The 15,579-nt window shown below is 37.0% G+C and overlaps 1 protein-coding gene and 1 long non-coding RNA gene across 3 annotated transcripts in view; one reads left to right on the top strand and one right to left on the bottom strand.

Annotated features, from left to right (window-relative positions):
- The window catches only part of LOC107984381 (uncharacterized), a 28,155-nt gene extending 20,588 nt beyond the window's left edge, over nucleotides 1–7,567 (bottom strand). The window contains exon 1 of the long non-coding RNA XR_001748352.2: nucleotides 7,404–7,567. This is a non-coding gene — a long non-coding RNA (uncharacterized LOC107984381). The remainder of the gene's footprint in view (nucleotides 1–7,403) is intronic.
- Nucleotides 7,568–10,231: 2,664 nt separating this feature from the next.
- Nucleotides 10,232–14,004, top strand: CARD16 (caspase recruitment domain family member 16). Of its 2 annotated transcripts, none has more exons than NM_052889.4 (4): nucleotides 10,232–10,276; nucleotides 10,909–11,175; nucleotides 12,022–12,084; nucleotides 13,848–14,004. In NM_052889.4, the coding sequence occupies exons 1-3, from the start codon at nucleotides 10,270–10,272 to the stop codon at nucleotides 12,039–12,041; spliced, it is 294 nt and encodes a 97-aa protein (NP_443121.1). In that variant the 5' UTR covers nucleotides 10,232–10,269; the 3' UTR covers nucleotides 12,042–12,084; nucleotides 13,848–14,004. The 2 variants fall into 2 exon arrangements, with proteins under 2 accessions (NP_443121.1, NP_001381509.1); NM_001394580.1 differs by having other exon boundaries at nucleotides 10,232–10,376.

The raw sequence follows: 15,579 nt of genomic DNA, 5'->3' as shown, positions 1-15,579 counted from the left end.
CTTCTTCTGCCCCATACTTGATATTAGATGTGTGATTATATGTGTAATTAACTTAGCTACAGAGTTTTATGAGTAAGGAGAGTTAAGCCTAGCAATTTTGTAATATAGTAAGAACTACATGACATGATATATGTAGAAAACTAATTATAGTTCTGTTCATACTTAAATTGCTCAATAAAGATAATGATGACAACAATGATAGTGGTGATGTTGATGATGATAATGACGCAATTTGGTTGACCATGAAATAGGAGGAGTCAGCCACTTGACTGTAAGTATTATTTGGAAAGTATTTCCAAAAAGCAGAAGTGAGGGAGTGGGGAAGGGAGATGAAAGAAAGATAATATTCCAAAAAAATGCAATAATGAATTCATTACTGCTCTGAGAAACTGGGTTCCAGTCTTTCTTCAGGATTGTCTACAATTATGTAGATTCTACCTTACTAGAAGATGAGGAATTAGAGACATTCATCAATGGACTAATGCCATTCATTGGTTGAAATTAGCCCCCAGGAGAAGGTCCTCCCTCTCCTACAATTCTGGACCCACATATGCACAGCTAAACAGTCCTCAGTCCTTTGATGAACATCTTCGATCTTCAAAGCAGAAAGAACCTGAAGCACAGTGGCTTGATGTGTGACAACAACCACATGAGGGGGAGTCCCCACTACAACAGCACTAAAGTCAGGAGGGTTGAAGTGGTGTGTTATGTGATGACAATGATTTTTCTGAGTTACATAGTGAAAATAAACATCACATACTACATTGCTTATGAAACTTATGTTGCATTATTTATCCCTTAAATTTCCTTTCTTTTCTTAATCAATATAGTTATTACATCCTTTTACCCTCCCGTCTCCCTTGAAATAGATACATTTACTCAATGTTTTGAAATCCTTGTGGAAAAATGCTGTTGCTTTTCCTTACAAAAAATTTTCTCGTATGTAACATATATTTTTCTAGCATTACAGATATGTGAAGAATCATATTGAGATAAGAGGTAACATTACTACATTTGTGCTGTTCAATAGGTATTATTGTTCTTCAGACATTAAATTTAATCCAACAATTCTCCAAGGCAGGTAGTTGACAGATAGAGAAATGAGACTTGAAGTCAATGATCATACAAATCATTATATCAGTGTAAATTGGTGAGATTAATAATAATTTTTAATAATAATCTTAATAAAATTTACAGACTGTAAGTCTAATCTCAGGTCTCCCAGGCAGAGGCCACAAATACCAACACCATATAGGCTTGGCAGAGAACACACATTAAGTTAATCAGGTTAGGTGAACGCAGGAAAAATCAGAAGGCATAATGAATGCGTCATCAAGGACTCAGTACCAGGCAACCCTTTCCATGTTGAAATTCAAGCAACAGAGGCCTGGAATGAAACACTTTATTTGAAATCTTACAATTTTTTACCTCTGATAATTAATTCAATGTCAAGATAAATCACATCTGAGAGAGCCAAAGAAATATCACTGGGCTTATGATGGACTCTGTGGGTCACCAGTTTTTACTTCTGTTCTAGCACATGTGGTTGTTGTTCCATTTTCAGATTATAGATCCATGAGGTGAGGTTGCTCCTCACTCCATTGGCTAAGTCATCAATCTCTCTGAGAATCTGTTTTCTCATCTGCAAAATGGAACTAATAATACCTGTATTCATTTCCTAGGGCTGCCATGACAAATCACCACAAACAGGGAGGTTTAACTGGAAATGCATTCTCTCAGTTTTGGAGGCAAGAAGTTTGAAATCAGGGTGTCAGTAGAGTAGGGCCATGGCCGCCATCCTAACTACTGGTTGCCTCAATCAATCTTGGTGTTCCTTGTTTGCAGCTACATCACTCTATTCTCTGCTTTTGTCATTATATTGCTGCCTTCCCTCTGTGAGTCTGTGTCTTCACATGTTGCTCTTCCTGTCTGTCTTTGCTCCAGAGCCCCTTTTCTTTGGTATGAACATGAGTTGTTCCGGCTGATGGCCCTACACTAATCCAAAATAAACTCATTGTAACTGATTATATTTGCAAGGACCCTATTTCCTAATAAGAGCACATTCTGAGTAACTGGGGTGTAGGCCTTCAATATGTTTTTATGGTACACAATTCAACTCATCACAATGCCGAACTCAGAGGGCTGTTAGAAAGCAGTTATTCTTTGAAGTTATCCTATTACAGATACATTGTGCTTCTTCAATCAGTGGACACATATTTTTCCCCAGTTCTGAAAAATTTGCTTTAAATATTTTGTCTTTTCTATTCTCTCTCGTCTGTCTTTCTGGTAAGTTGATCAGCTATATCTCAGAGTTTCTCATTCCATCCTTCGTACCTGTGAAGCCTTCTCAAATTTTTCAGCCTCTCATTTCTGCTTTGATTTTGCAATCTAGATAAATTAGTATTAACCCATAAACAACAAGTATCTGAAATGCCTTGGTCTGCTTATACATGCATTTTATAAACATATAAACATATTGGAAAAATTTAGGAGATTTGCTACAATTTGAAGAAAATCACAAATCATCTACACTAGAAATACTGAAAAATTAAGTTAGGTATGTAAAAAATGCACAAAATTTATGGAGTTGTTAAGTCTATTTTATCATTTACTACTATATTATAAAATATACACAAATCTATTATAGAAAGCTAAAGTTTATCAAAGTTTATGCACTCATAGATAAAACATAGTACCACTTGAAAAGAGAAATGTAAACAAATATAAAGATACAGTATTAAATCCTAACTGCACAAAATTAACCATGGATACTGTACTCCCATATTTTCATAGCCATTTCCTGCTGCTATTTCAGTGAACTCAAGTTTTGTATCTGCTTAAAATGCCATGTGACACTCATTATCTCTACATCAGCAGTTTGTATCTCCAGTAAATTTCATATTGCTATAAAAAGCAGTATCCTTGGGTTTTTAATGTATTTTTCGTTGCATTTACTGCAACACCATAATTCTCGAATAACAGCACGGGGTCCAGACAACATACCAATACTGATGGTGTAATGTTCCCAAGAAGCAATGTCATGACATTACAAGAAAAAGTAGAACTGTTTGATATGTACTGTAGATTGAGATCTGGATTTGTGGCTGCTCACCATTTCAAGATAAATGAATACAGAATGAAGACCAATGTAAAAAAATAAAAGGAGATAATAAAGCTATCACTGCACTGTGCCTGCCAGTGCCAAAACCTTGCACTATTGTGAAACAATTTTTAATCTTGTATTGAAATTGAAGGGTGTAAGTGGTGGCAGAATTTTCATATGAAAGGTATATTTATAGACTCTAATATGATTCCAGAAAAAATGAAGTTATTTTATACAACTTAAAGGAAAAGAAAGGGGAAGGATCTAAAGGTGGATACTTTAATGATAGCCAAGGATGGTTTGATAATTTAAAGTGCTTTTGCATTAAAAATGTCAAGACATCAGGGGATGCAGCTTTTGGTTATCAAGAGGCAGCAGATTGGTTCCCAGAAACTATTAAGAAAATCATTGAAGAGAAACTATACTACTGGAACAGGTTTTGAATACAGGTGACAATGTTCTAGTCTAGAAAAAAAGATGCCAAAAAGGCCATTTGTTAGTAAGAAATAGAAGCAAGCACAAGGATTTAAAATAGAAAAGGATAAGCTAATTTTACTGTTTCATGGGAATGCAGTCAGGTTTATCATCAGGACTGCTCTTATCTATAAAGCTACTAAGCCCTGAGCCTTGAACAGAAATGGTAAACACTAGCTGCCAGTGTTTTGGTTGGACAACAAGAATGCCTGTGCAATGGGAGCACTTTTTCTCTATTGATTCCTTTCATGCTTTGTCCCTGAAGTCAGAAAATATTTTGCCAATAAGGGACTGCCCATTTATGATTCTTTTGATGTTGGACAATGCCCCTGGCTACCCAAAACCTCATTAGTTCAATTTGCAAAAAATCAAAGTGGTCTACTCGCCACCAAATGAAACGTCTCTAATTCAGCCTCTGAATCAGGAGGTCAGAAAGAACTTTAATGCTCATTACACATGTTACTCTATGAAAAGATTTGTGAATGCCAAGGAAGAGACCATCGATAGAGATGACATCATGAAAGTCTGGAAGGGCTACACCACTGAAAATGACATCATTGATATTAAAAAATTAAAAGCCATGATTTTGGGTGCAGTGGTATGGGCCTATGATCCCAGCTACTAAAGAGGCTGAGGTGGAAGGATAGCTTGAGTCCAGGAGCTTAAGGCCAACCTAGGCAACATAACAAGACCCCGATAAATTTCTGCTAGAGAAAACTGTTTCCAGAAGTTGTCCATGACTTCACCAGCGTTTATGAAAAAGCCAATCAAGAAAATAATGAGAGATTGTAGATATTGCAAAAAAAGTGAATAACTTTAAGATATGGATCTTATAAAAATTCAAGAGCTAATTGCACATTAGAGAAATTAACAGATGAAAACTTGATAGAGATGTGTGCTTCTGAACCAGTTCCAAATGATGAGGAAGAAGATGTAGAAGAAGTAGTGCCAGAGCACAAATTGGCATTATAATTTGGCAGAAAGATTCTGATTTTTCAAAGCAGCTTTTGACCTGTTTTACAACAAAGACCATTCTATGATATGAGCACTGAAACTAAGGGAAATGGTGAAAGAAAGATTCATACTGTCTAGAAAAAATTTTAGGGAAATGGAAAAGCAAAAATGTCAGACAGAAATAACTATGCATTTCCACAAATATAAATGCAGTGTGCCTTCTTCTCCTGTGTCCTGTTCCACCTCTTCTTCTGCTTCTGCCACCCGTGAGACTGCAAGACTAAGCCATCCCCTTCCTCCATCTCTTCAGCTTACTCAATGTGAAGACGATGAGGATGAAGACCTTATGATAATCCACTCTCACTGAGTCAATAGTAGATATATTTTCTCTTCCTTATGATTTTCTTAACAACTTTTTTTACTTTAGCTTACTTTATATTACAGTATATAATACATATAAAATACAAAATATTTGTTAATCAGTGGTTTTTGTTACTGGTAAGGCTTCTCTTCAATAGCAGGCCATTAGAAGTTAAGTTTGGAAGGAGTCAAAAGTTATATGCAGATTTTCTTTTCTTTTCTTTTTTTTTTTTTGCGACCGAGTCTCGCTTTGTCTCCCAGGCTGGAGTGCAGTGGTGCGTACTCAGCTCACTGCAAGCTCCACCTCCTGGGTTCAAGCCATTCTCCTGCCTCAGCCTTCTGAGTAGCTGGGACAACAGGCACCCGCCACCATGACGGGCTATTTTTTTGTATTTTTAGTAGAGATGGGGTTTCACCGTGTTAGCCAGGATAGTCTCGATCTCCTGACCTCCTGATGCGCCCGCCTTTGCCTCCCAAAGTGCTGGGATTACAGGCGTGAGCCACCGCAACCGGCCACAGATTTTCAACTGAATATAGGGGTCAGTGCCTCTAAGTATTTCATTGTTTAAAGGTCAACTGTACATCTCTGTATCTTCCACATTATATACATTTTCGCAGATTTGTGTGTCTGCCTTTTAATCTGTCCATTATTAAATATAACTAATTTTTGTATTTATACATGCTCTATTTTTATTGTTTCTCAAATTATTGCTTATTATAGAATAATTACTTTTTGCTCCCTTTATTTACATCCTTCTATATTTGATATAGAATGATTTCATTCTATATTTGATATTTGATTTGTCCAATATCTCAATGTCCTTCAAGATTTAAATTTATAGTCTCTTCTTTCTGCTGATATATCCTTATAGTGGCTTGCTTTCTAGTGTATTTATATACTTCATCTGTCAGTGTAGTTTATATTCTGAGTGGGCTGAAGGAAAAGAATGGCTTCTGTTTCTGCTGCTAGGCAACACACCACATCCAAGACCATGTCTATCCCTCCTTGGGGATTTGGCTCTATCTGGTTCCAAGATGAGACTCTAACTTGTAGAGGTTCCATGGGTCAGTTATTATCTATGCTGTTGGTGTAGAAATCTGACACAAGGAGACCACACCCCTCCTGGCCACTTGCCTGTCCAGGCAAGCTCTTTACTGCTTCATCTTCGCTCCTTCCTACTCTTCTGCAGCTTCTTTCTGTAGTCAGCACCAACTCCCAGACATTCTTACCCCTTCTCCTGTCTCCAACACTCAGTCCAATCAGGACCCAGCTCCTGGTTCACATGGTACCAGCAATGCCTCAAAGAACATGTCCTATTAAATTCTGGATGTGGCAGTGCATGAAGTCTCAAGGGTGAGGGTCAGGATGAGATTTTGGTTTCATAATCTGGGGTTATTCCAAGTACCAATATTTTTAAACGGTTCGACAAGAGGAACCAATATAGATGAAGTATCTATTACAGAGCCTGGGCCTTATTAAGCACTCAATATGAAATAGTTACTTTAGAAGCATGTTAACGTGACTCTCCTACTTAGGAAGCTGCAATGGTTTCCTATTGCCCATCTCATCATTTAAATAGTTTACTGGGGCTGACTGTTATAAATTATCATAGTCTAGATGCATTTAACTCAGAATTTATTTCCCACTGACACAAAAAAGCACCTTTTATCTGCTTATCTACTTCCTATTTCCCAGTGTAGTTAGTACCCAGTTGAAGAGGAGTGCATCACATACAGCAAGTAATGAGTGAGGTGGTGGGCTGGCTTCTCACCCAGTTCTCCAGCTTGGGCTTACCAAGGCCTTGAAGCAATTTTTTACCTGATCTTCCTATCATAAAATGAAATTAATGCTTATTCAACATACTGAAGTGAAGCATATGAAAAATTTAGAAGTACTTAACCAAAAAGTACATTTGTACATGACCTTGCTTCTGCTCTATAGGTCATGACTACCATAAATGAGAGGTACTATGGCATGATCTCTACACCTGGCATTGCATCCTAGAAGGTAAGAATGATTAGGAGGCCCCTTCTATACACGAGAACACAGAGGCTGAGAGATGTTAAATAACTTGTCCAAAATCTAATAGCTCATAAACAGAAGTTGACCTCAGGACTGTTAGATACCCAAGTCCACACTGATAAGCTGTGCAGAAAAGGGGAAGGTTTTAGACAAAGAAAACATAAAATAACATGTTATAGTTGATTAGTGTTCTGAATTGTATTACTCAAAATGTGCTAATGGTCCACAAATATAAATAAGAAGAGGAGTTGGATAAACTGAAAGGGTATATGATGTTCTAAAGCTTGGAAATGGGATGGTCAAAACCCAAGCACAGGAATTTTCTGTCTTCTATGTCAGAGGTTCTTATAGTACCTACTCTGTCATTTAAAATAATATTGTTTCACAGACTTCACACTGATAGAAGGATTTTTAAATCATTATGCAGATTTTAAATATCACTTACAGTAGAATTGCTACATTCATTTATTTTAAGATAATTTTACTTACGTAATGCTATTTTCCAGGTACATATTTCAGTCAATAAATTGGTTCCTGTAGGTTATCTCCCCTCTGTCTACCTATCCCCCTCCAATGTGGGTGGCGGGTAATTACATTTCAGCCACTATGAGAACTGCTTCCTCTTACCAGAATTATGGGTAATTTTTGGAGGCTTGATTGTGTCCTGAAATCAAGAAAAAAAATGTTTTTCCAAATTAGTCTGTTATTACTACCATTGACCTTTTTCATTTCAAATTTTAACATTATTTTAGTATAATTTACATAAAAGAAAATGTACCCCTTTTAAGAATATAAATTGATTATTAATTACACAAGAATATTTAGTATAATATCCCATTTAATAGACAAACCGATATTGTCACCCCAAAAAATTTTGTCTTGCCCTTTGTTCTCAATTTCCTTCCATTTCCTCCTCTGATAAGCAGTGATTGAATTTCTACCACTACACATTAGATTTTTCTAATCTAGAACTTTATATAATTGGAATCACAGGGTATGTGCTCCTTCCTATATGGCTTCTTCCACTCATAATGAAAGTATAAGTTTTTCATCCATGTTATTGCATATATTAGTAATTTTTTCCTTTTATGACTGAATAGTATTTCAGTGTATGTGTCTAGCACAAATTGTTTACTTATGCTCCTGAATTGGAATTTGAGTTGTTTCCAGTTTTTGACATCTTCCTTTTTGAGGAAATAGCGAGCCTTTGCACTCTAATGGCTCAGTGTTTACATTCCCAGGACATGACTCAAAGCTCATGATTCTACATCCCCAGACACATGGTCTAATCATTGTTTCTGTGTCCTGGATGCCACTTTGGCATGCATAAACTCCGTGGTTCTTGGCTCTGGCTGGTGGGGAGAAACCCTCATGTGAAACCCTTAAGCAGCAGAAAAAATAAATGAGTCAGTACATAAATTTAAAAGTAAATAAACTAAAGAGAAGTGGTGCACAGACAATTTCTGCTTTCTTCCATGCTACAAATCCTTCCAGCGGCAAGGAGCTCAAGATTTTGCTGCAATCGGATTAGGTCATTGGCAGAGTAAAGATAAAAACACCATGAAAAACACCTTAGATTAAAAGCCACGTCATTGTCCTCCTACACAGTCCGTTCTACTTAACCAATGACATTTAACTCTTAGCCTGGAGCACAGGAAGTAAAACTGGTAGCCCACATGTCAAACCGTAAATATTTTTGTAAATCTGGTCATTATCCTCCAAAGGTAATAACGTAACAGCCCAAGAAAATTTTTGGTAAAAAAAAAAAAAAATGATAAATGAAATGTACCGTGTGCATTTTGCTATTAGTCCATCTTCCATCAAGTTTATTCATGAAATAAATTAGCCACATTGAGTTTATTTCTGGGATAATCAATTCAGCATGTACTGACAAAGGCAGAGACCTCTTCTGGCCTTCCCTGGCTCCTCTGTGTACAATTTTCATGAGTCCTGCAATACTTTGTCTCCCACTTCTCCAATTAATTTCTTATTCTTCTCATCGCTTGGCATATTTTCACATTCTAAATATTCCAGTTACATATTACATACCAGGTTTCATGTGTATCTTTCCCTCTTGAATGTGCGAGCAAGAGGGAAAGGATCATAATATATGTTTTGATGGAACCCCTGACACCGAGAACCATGTTGTCCACATATATTTGCTAAATGAATGACTGGAGGCACTGCTTGAGGATTCTAACAAAAGATAAACTTAGCTAAAAAATCTGCAAATAATCATCCTTGATTATTTTTCTAAACTGAAATATTTCTATTAATTATAGTAATATCCCTCATTATCTGCTTACCATTTGCCAGGCAATGTTCCATTCATTTTTCACATTTTTATCTCAATACTGCTCAAAACTGTGTAGATGTGTATGTACTATTAATAATATTATTTTACAGACAGAGGAACCAATGTATAAAGAAGTTTAATATCTTGCCCAGGAAGGTGAGTTTAACTTGCTAGGTTCAACATTCTGAGTTCAGAGTCTATGCTTTGGGCCTCTGTGATGCAATGTCCCTCAAAAGAAAGCCATCCAAGATGAGTGAGTGGCTCATGGCTCATGCCTGTAATCCCAGCTCTTTGGGAGGCCAAGATGGGCGGATCGCTTGAGCGCTGGAATTCAAAATCAGCCAAGGAAACATAGGGAGAGCCCGTCTCAACAAAAAATACAAAAATTAACCAGCCCTGATGGGATTTGCCTGTAATTTTAACTACTCAGGAAACTGAAGTGGGAGAATCATCTCAGCCTAGGGAAGTGGAGGCTGCAGTGAGCCGTGGTCATGCCACTGCACTCCAACCTGGGCAACAGAGTGACATCATGTATCAGAAGACAAAACAAAACAAAAAAGCCATCAGGAAAGGAAGAACATTAAATAAGAAAAGCTTTAATATTGGTGAAAAATGTTTACATTTCTTAAAGCAAAATTGCTTCACAGGGACATATATTTCCCACAAACTTTCCCCAAAGCTGTGAGGTGGGGTCAAGGGAACAGTGGTTCACATTCTCCAAAGGTTGTGTTAATTTTTTCGGTCAAGTTTTCGAATGAATGGGAAACTCTTCACTGTGTGAATTTAACTGTACACATACTTTCTCAATCCTGGGGCTTATTCTCTAAGCCCCATTCCCCTCCTACCCTGATCTATCCAAGGGCTGGAGAAAAAAGAATTCCCTTGGATACACTCTCTGATGCAGGCTACAGTTCTGATTCTTTCTCTGGGAAGAAAAATAAAGATATGCATATGAATGTGCAGTGGGTGTTTCCCAATATGTGTACACGCCCTGCCAAAAAGGAAGGCGAAACATACTTTCAGTTTCAGCCCACACAAGAAGGGTAGGAGAGAAAAGCCATGGCCGGTGAGTCTTTTACTGTTCCAAGAACAGGTCCCTGGGAAGAAAGAGTTGTGGAAAGGGCTGGCTCTTCTGGAAGCCATAATTAGTATCTGTGGAAGTTTAGGTGAGCAGAAGTGAGGGAGAGGGAGGAGTGGGAGGAGAGAAGGAACTAGAAGATTTTTGCAGGCTTTAGAAAGAAAAGGCAAGCCCAGAAAGGAACAGAGACTTTAGGGGTAGCCTGCTGTCATTTTGCAATCTTAATTAAACCCTTGCTTACCTGTCGTAAGTCTGACAGAGGGTACAGAATTGGCACAGGAGGAGTACTAGCAGCAGTGGTTCCTAAATGAAATGGGCTATTTCTGCTTCATTACTTTATTATTCAGAGTTAAATAAACATGGGACACAAGAGGATGATCTCTGCTTTCCAGGGACTGATGTGGAAATGGTAAACTCAGTCTTCAGGTCACTCCATGCACATATATGGGGACTACTGAGGGAAACAAGTAGGACAGCAATACAGTAAGAAGAGGGATTACCCAACTGTGAGGAGGGGGACATTTCACTGATGAAATCTAAATGAGGTCACTTTCTGTTGATGACGTGAGAGGAATATGAGGCTGTTTTCATGATGTGAGAAATCCTTGTGCTCCAAACAGACAAGGTCCTGAAGGAGAAGAGAAAGCTGTTTATCCATTCCATGGGTGAAGGTACAATAAATGGCTTACTGGATGAATTATTACAGACAAGGGTGCTGAACCAGGAAGAGATGGAGAAAGTAAAACGTGAAAATGCTACAGTTATGGATAAGACCCGAGCTTTGATTGACTCCGTTATTCCGAAAGGGGCACAGGCATGCCAAATTTGCATCACATACATTTGTGAAGAAGACAGTTACCTGGCAGAGACGCTGGGACTCTCAGCAGGTAAGGGTCAGTGACTCACACTCAAGTTCACCTAGGGCCTGTCTTCGTGCCTAACATTTGATTTCTTTACTAGTCATGTTAATCTGCAGAATATCTTCTTATCTCTGCCTTTGGGCCATATTTCTGTAGCAGAGGCCCTATTGCATGTCCCTTGACTCTTTTTTGTGTTCCTTCATCCTCAGTGCCCTCTTCTGATTAAAGTTCATTTTCTGTTCTGAGTACATGGTAGCTAATTTCCTTAAGGTCATGAGAACTATCTAGAAAGCTTCATACAATATGTTCCAGTGTTCCTGGCAAGGCACGATATTTATTGATTGATTTATTATTTTGTGTCCAGGGTGTCCCTAAGCCCTTATGTAGTTGTTTGACATGAGCTTTAGGGTCTGTATTCAAATACTTTTTATAAATTCTTTTCAAACTTTTGCCCTCAGAGAAGAATAAAGTATATTTAAGTGACGATGATACGTTCAGGAAATACATTCAATGATTACAGAATAGTAAAGATTTCAACAGGGCTCTTTCCTCCCGTTGCCCCCATGCATTTTCTTTTGAGTAAGATCTGCTTGTCTGTTGCCAAGCTGCAGATCATACTGGGAGGCCTGGACTTCCATCATCTGCAGCCCTCCTAGGGCCTGATACAGTGCTCAGGAAATGAGCTTGCCCATTCTTATAATCCCTTGAACCTACAGCATGGTGAGGATGGGAGTTTTGGTGCACTTGAACATTATTTATTGTCATTTAGTCAGGGTTGTGGGAGGAATTTGCAGTGAGGAGTGGCTTATGCATTGCTGTAAAGTTTTCCAGAGATGATAAGTGGCTATTTCAATGTTCTTCATCTTTTTATAGGTCCGATACCTGGAAATTAGCTTAGTACACAAGACTCCCAATTACTATTTTCTTCCTTCCCAGGTAATGTTGTTTTTCAATGAAGAGCATTCTTTGAACCCCATCTTCTTTAACATTAATTTAGTGGAATGAGCTCTGCTTGAAGGGGCTATGGAGAATTCCCATAGACTGATCATATAATTTTCTTTTTTAATCTATTCTGTTTTTGCAGAAACTGTTCCCAAAGCTTTACTACTCTTATTTATACTAACAAAATCTGAATTTGTATCTCAAATTCTGATTACCCAAATAAGTACCAAACTTCATCATTTAAGACTACTGAAATATTCCCTCACATCTTCCAGAGACACATTTATGTAAACAATTTCAGAGCTGAACATGCCATTCTTCCCCACCCTGCTTCTCTTACAGTTTTGTGTAACTTGGTTTTTGATGCCACCATCACCAGTTGTTCAATCCAGGAACTTGAAACTCATCTTGGCCCCCTTCCTCTCATGCACCTCCAATATTCAAGCCATGGCCAAGTTTTATGCATTCTTCTCTCAAATTTGGAAATGTCTCTTCATTCTTACTTCTATTATTTTATTAAAGAACTCTTATTCCTTAAGTGCCCCCCTTAAAATAAAAGAAACTTATATTTGAAAGCAATTTAGAGGCTAGAAATGCATGTTTTTATCAAGTTCAGATATTACTCTACTGAATTTATTAAGGATGATTACCTCATGAATGTTTTCTTAAATGTTTCACAGCATGGGATACTCACTATATAACCAAATACTGTATTCTCAAAAATAACTCAAATGCTTTTCTTTAGTTTTTCTCTATTGCTTTCACAAATCCTTACAAAGAAACCAAACATTTCTTCTACTAAATTATTATTTTATAGTTTTCTCCAATATAATCATTCTAATTAGTTCTTCTCCATGTCAACACACTTCATGCTGCCTTTGTTTATCTGATTGTATAGCAGTTTTTCAAATTTGTTTGCAAAATTAAATATTATTATTTTGCCTTAATAGTTTCTAAAAGATCCTCTGGATATCTAGAAACCTCAGTTCTATCTTGAAACAAACATCACATTAATTTTTTAACAAGTGCATCACATTGTCAGATTGTGTTGATCTTGTGATGAAATAAAAGCCTCAAAGATTTTCTCACATAAACTCTGTGAAAACATTTCCTCATATGTTCGTGAAAGCAATGTTTAGTGCTATGAATCCATCTAGAGCACACCATGATTTTAGCATTCATCGTTCTATTTTATATTTATTCTAGTTTACGTATTCAATATTCTTGTCCTCCCATATGTATACATTGTAGGAGGAGATGCTGAAGGACAGGAAAAGGGATCATTAAAAAAATATTCCCAGTGTTTACTACCATGTCTATTAGGTAAATAAATAAAAGGATAAACACATATTTTAAAAATTAATTAGTGTTAATTAAGACCTGCTCCCATTAAATTTTATCCTAGGGTTTGAATCCTTTGAAAACAAATCATATTTTAACTATTTTATATCACTCATTGACTGTTTCCTGAGTGTTTTATCATGCATGGCCTTGAAAAGCTTCCTCTCTGTTTTTATCTAAGATGCTTGTAGAAATACTTATGCTCAAATATGAAAGTAGATCCTCCCTGTAATGCATACCTAGAAATCTCTGGCTTGAAATGTGCTCCATTAGCAGCAAACGCACTCAACTATGTTAATGACTAGATTAGGATTGTCCTCTAGGAATGTATTTCCTCTTTTGTAGCTTCCTCCATAGGTGAGGCTATAAGAACAAAGAGGGATACCACTGTTCATGATATTCCTTGTCTCTTGCAGCTCTTCAGGCAGTGCAGGACAACCCAGCTATGCCCACATGCTCAAGCCCAGAAGGCAGAATCAAGCTTTGCTTTCTAGAAGACGCTCAAAGGATATGGAAACAAAAGTTGCAGAGGTGCCATGTTCAGAATACAATAATAAAGTGGAGTGAAAGATATACTTCAGGCAGTTTTGAAATGCAGTGGCTTTTTCTTAGAACCAATTTTATTGAGCGGTTCTGGAGGAACATACTTCTGCTCCCCTTGCATAAAGGATCTCTATATCCTAGAATCCCAGGTTTAGGTAAAGAGTTGCAAACTGGAACTCATAAATTATCATAGTCTTCACCCAGTCTGTCTCTTAGAATTTATTTCCCACTGACACAAACAAGCCATTTTGTCTGCTTGTATAACCCAGATTTTCCAGTGTAGTGCCCAGTTGGAAAAAAGCACATCCCATTGAGCAAGTATTGAAGTGGACTCTTGCTTCTCACCCAATTCTCCAACTTGTGTTTACCAAGAATTGGAGTCAGTTTTTTACCTGTTGTTCCTATTCATAAAATGAAATTAATGTTTATTTAACATATTGAAATGAAGCATATGAATAATTTAGAAGCACTTTACCAAAAAGTACATTTTAACATTACCTTGCTTCTGGGCTATAGCTTATGACTACTATAAATGAGAGGTATAGTGGCATGCTCTCTACACCAGGCATTGCATCTTAGAAGGTAAGAATGATAATGAGGCCCCTCCTATACATGAGAACACGGAGGATGGGAGATGTTAAATAACTTGGTTAAGATCTACAGCTCATAAATAGAAGTTGACCCTAGGGCTATTAGATGCCAAAGTCCACACTGATAAACCGGGCAGAAAGAAAGAGGCTTTTAGACAAAGAAAAAATAAAATAACATGTAATAGTTGATTAGTGCTCTAAGTTGTATTACACAAAATGTGCTGATAGTCCAAAAATATAACTAAGAAGAGTTGGATAAACTGAAAGTGTCCATGAACTTCTAAGGCTTGGAAATGGGATGGCCAAAACCCAAGCACAGAATTGTCTGCCTTCTATGTCAGAGATTTTTACAGTACCTACTCTGTCATTTAAAATTATATTGTTTCCCAGACTTCACACTGACAGGATTTTATAACATTATGCACATTTAAAATATTACTTATAATAGAATTGTTACATTCATTTATTTTGAGATGATTTTACCTTTGTAATTCTATTTTCCAAGTACACATTTAAGTCAACAATTTGGTTCCTATAAATTATATCCACTCTGTCTACAATTCCCCATCCAACTTGGGTGGTTGGTAATTACAACTCAGTCACTATAAGAACAACTTCCTCTTACCAAAATTTTTACAAATTTGTGGAGTGTGTCCAGCCAGAAATCAACAAAAAAATATATATTATTACAACCACTGACCATTTTCGCTTCAAAATTTTAATGTTATTTTTGTATAATTTACGTCAAAGAAAATGTACTCCTTTTAAGAATACAAGTTGATAACTAATGATACATGGCTATTCTAGTATAATAACATCCTAGTGAATAGGCAAACCGATTTTGTCACCCCAGAAAGTTTTGTCACGCCCATTGTTATCAATCTCCTTCCACTTCCTCCTCAGATAAGTAGTCATCGAATTTCTATCACTGTACGTTAGTTTTTCCTAATCTAGAACTTTATATAATTGGAATCACAGGGTATGTGTTCCTTCCTATATGGCTTCTTTCACTCAT

This window comes from Homo sapiens, chromosome 11 (genome assembly GCF_000001405.40).
Source record: "Homo sapiens chromosome 11, GRCh38.p14 Primary Assembly".
NCBI classification, from domain to species: domain Eukaryota; kingdom Metazoa; phylum Chordata; class Mammalia; order Primates; family Hominidae; genus Homo; species Homo sapiens.
The sequence above is the reverse complement of the archived record's forward strand: the minus strand, read 5'-3'. Positions and strand labels throughout refer to the sequence as shown.

What these genes read in the sequence shown, in the direction of transcription:
- CARD16 (NM_052889.4), top strand. An exon ending in GACGCTGGGACTCTCAGCAG is followed by an intron (nt 11,176 to 12,021) that starts GTAAGGGTCAGT and finishes ATCTTTTTATAG; the next exon opens with GTCCGATACCTGGAAATTAG.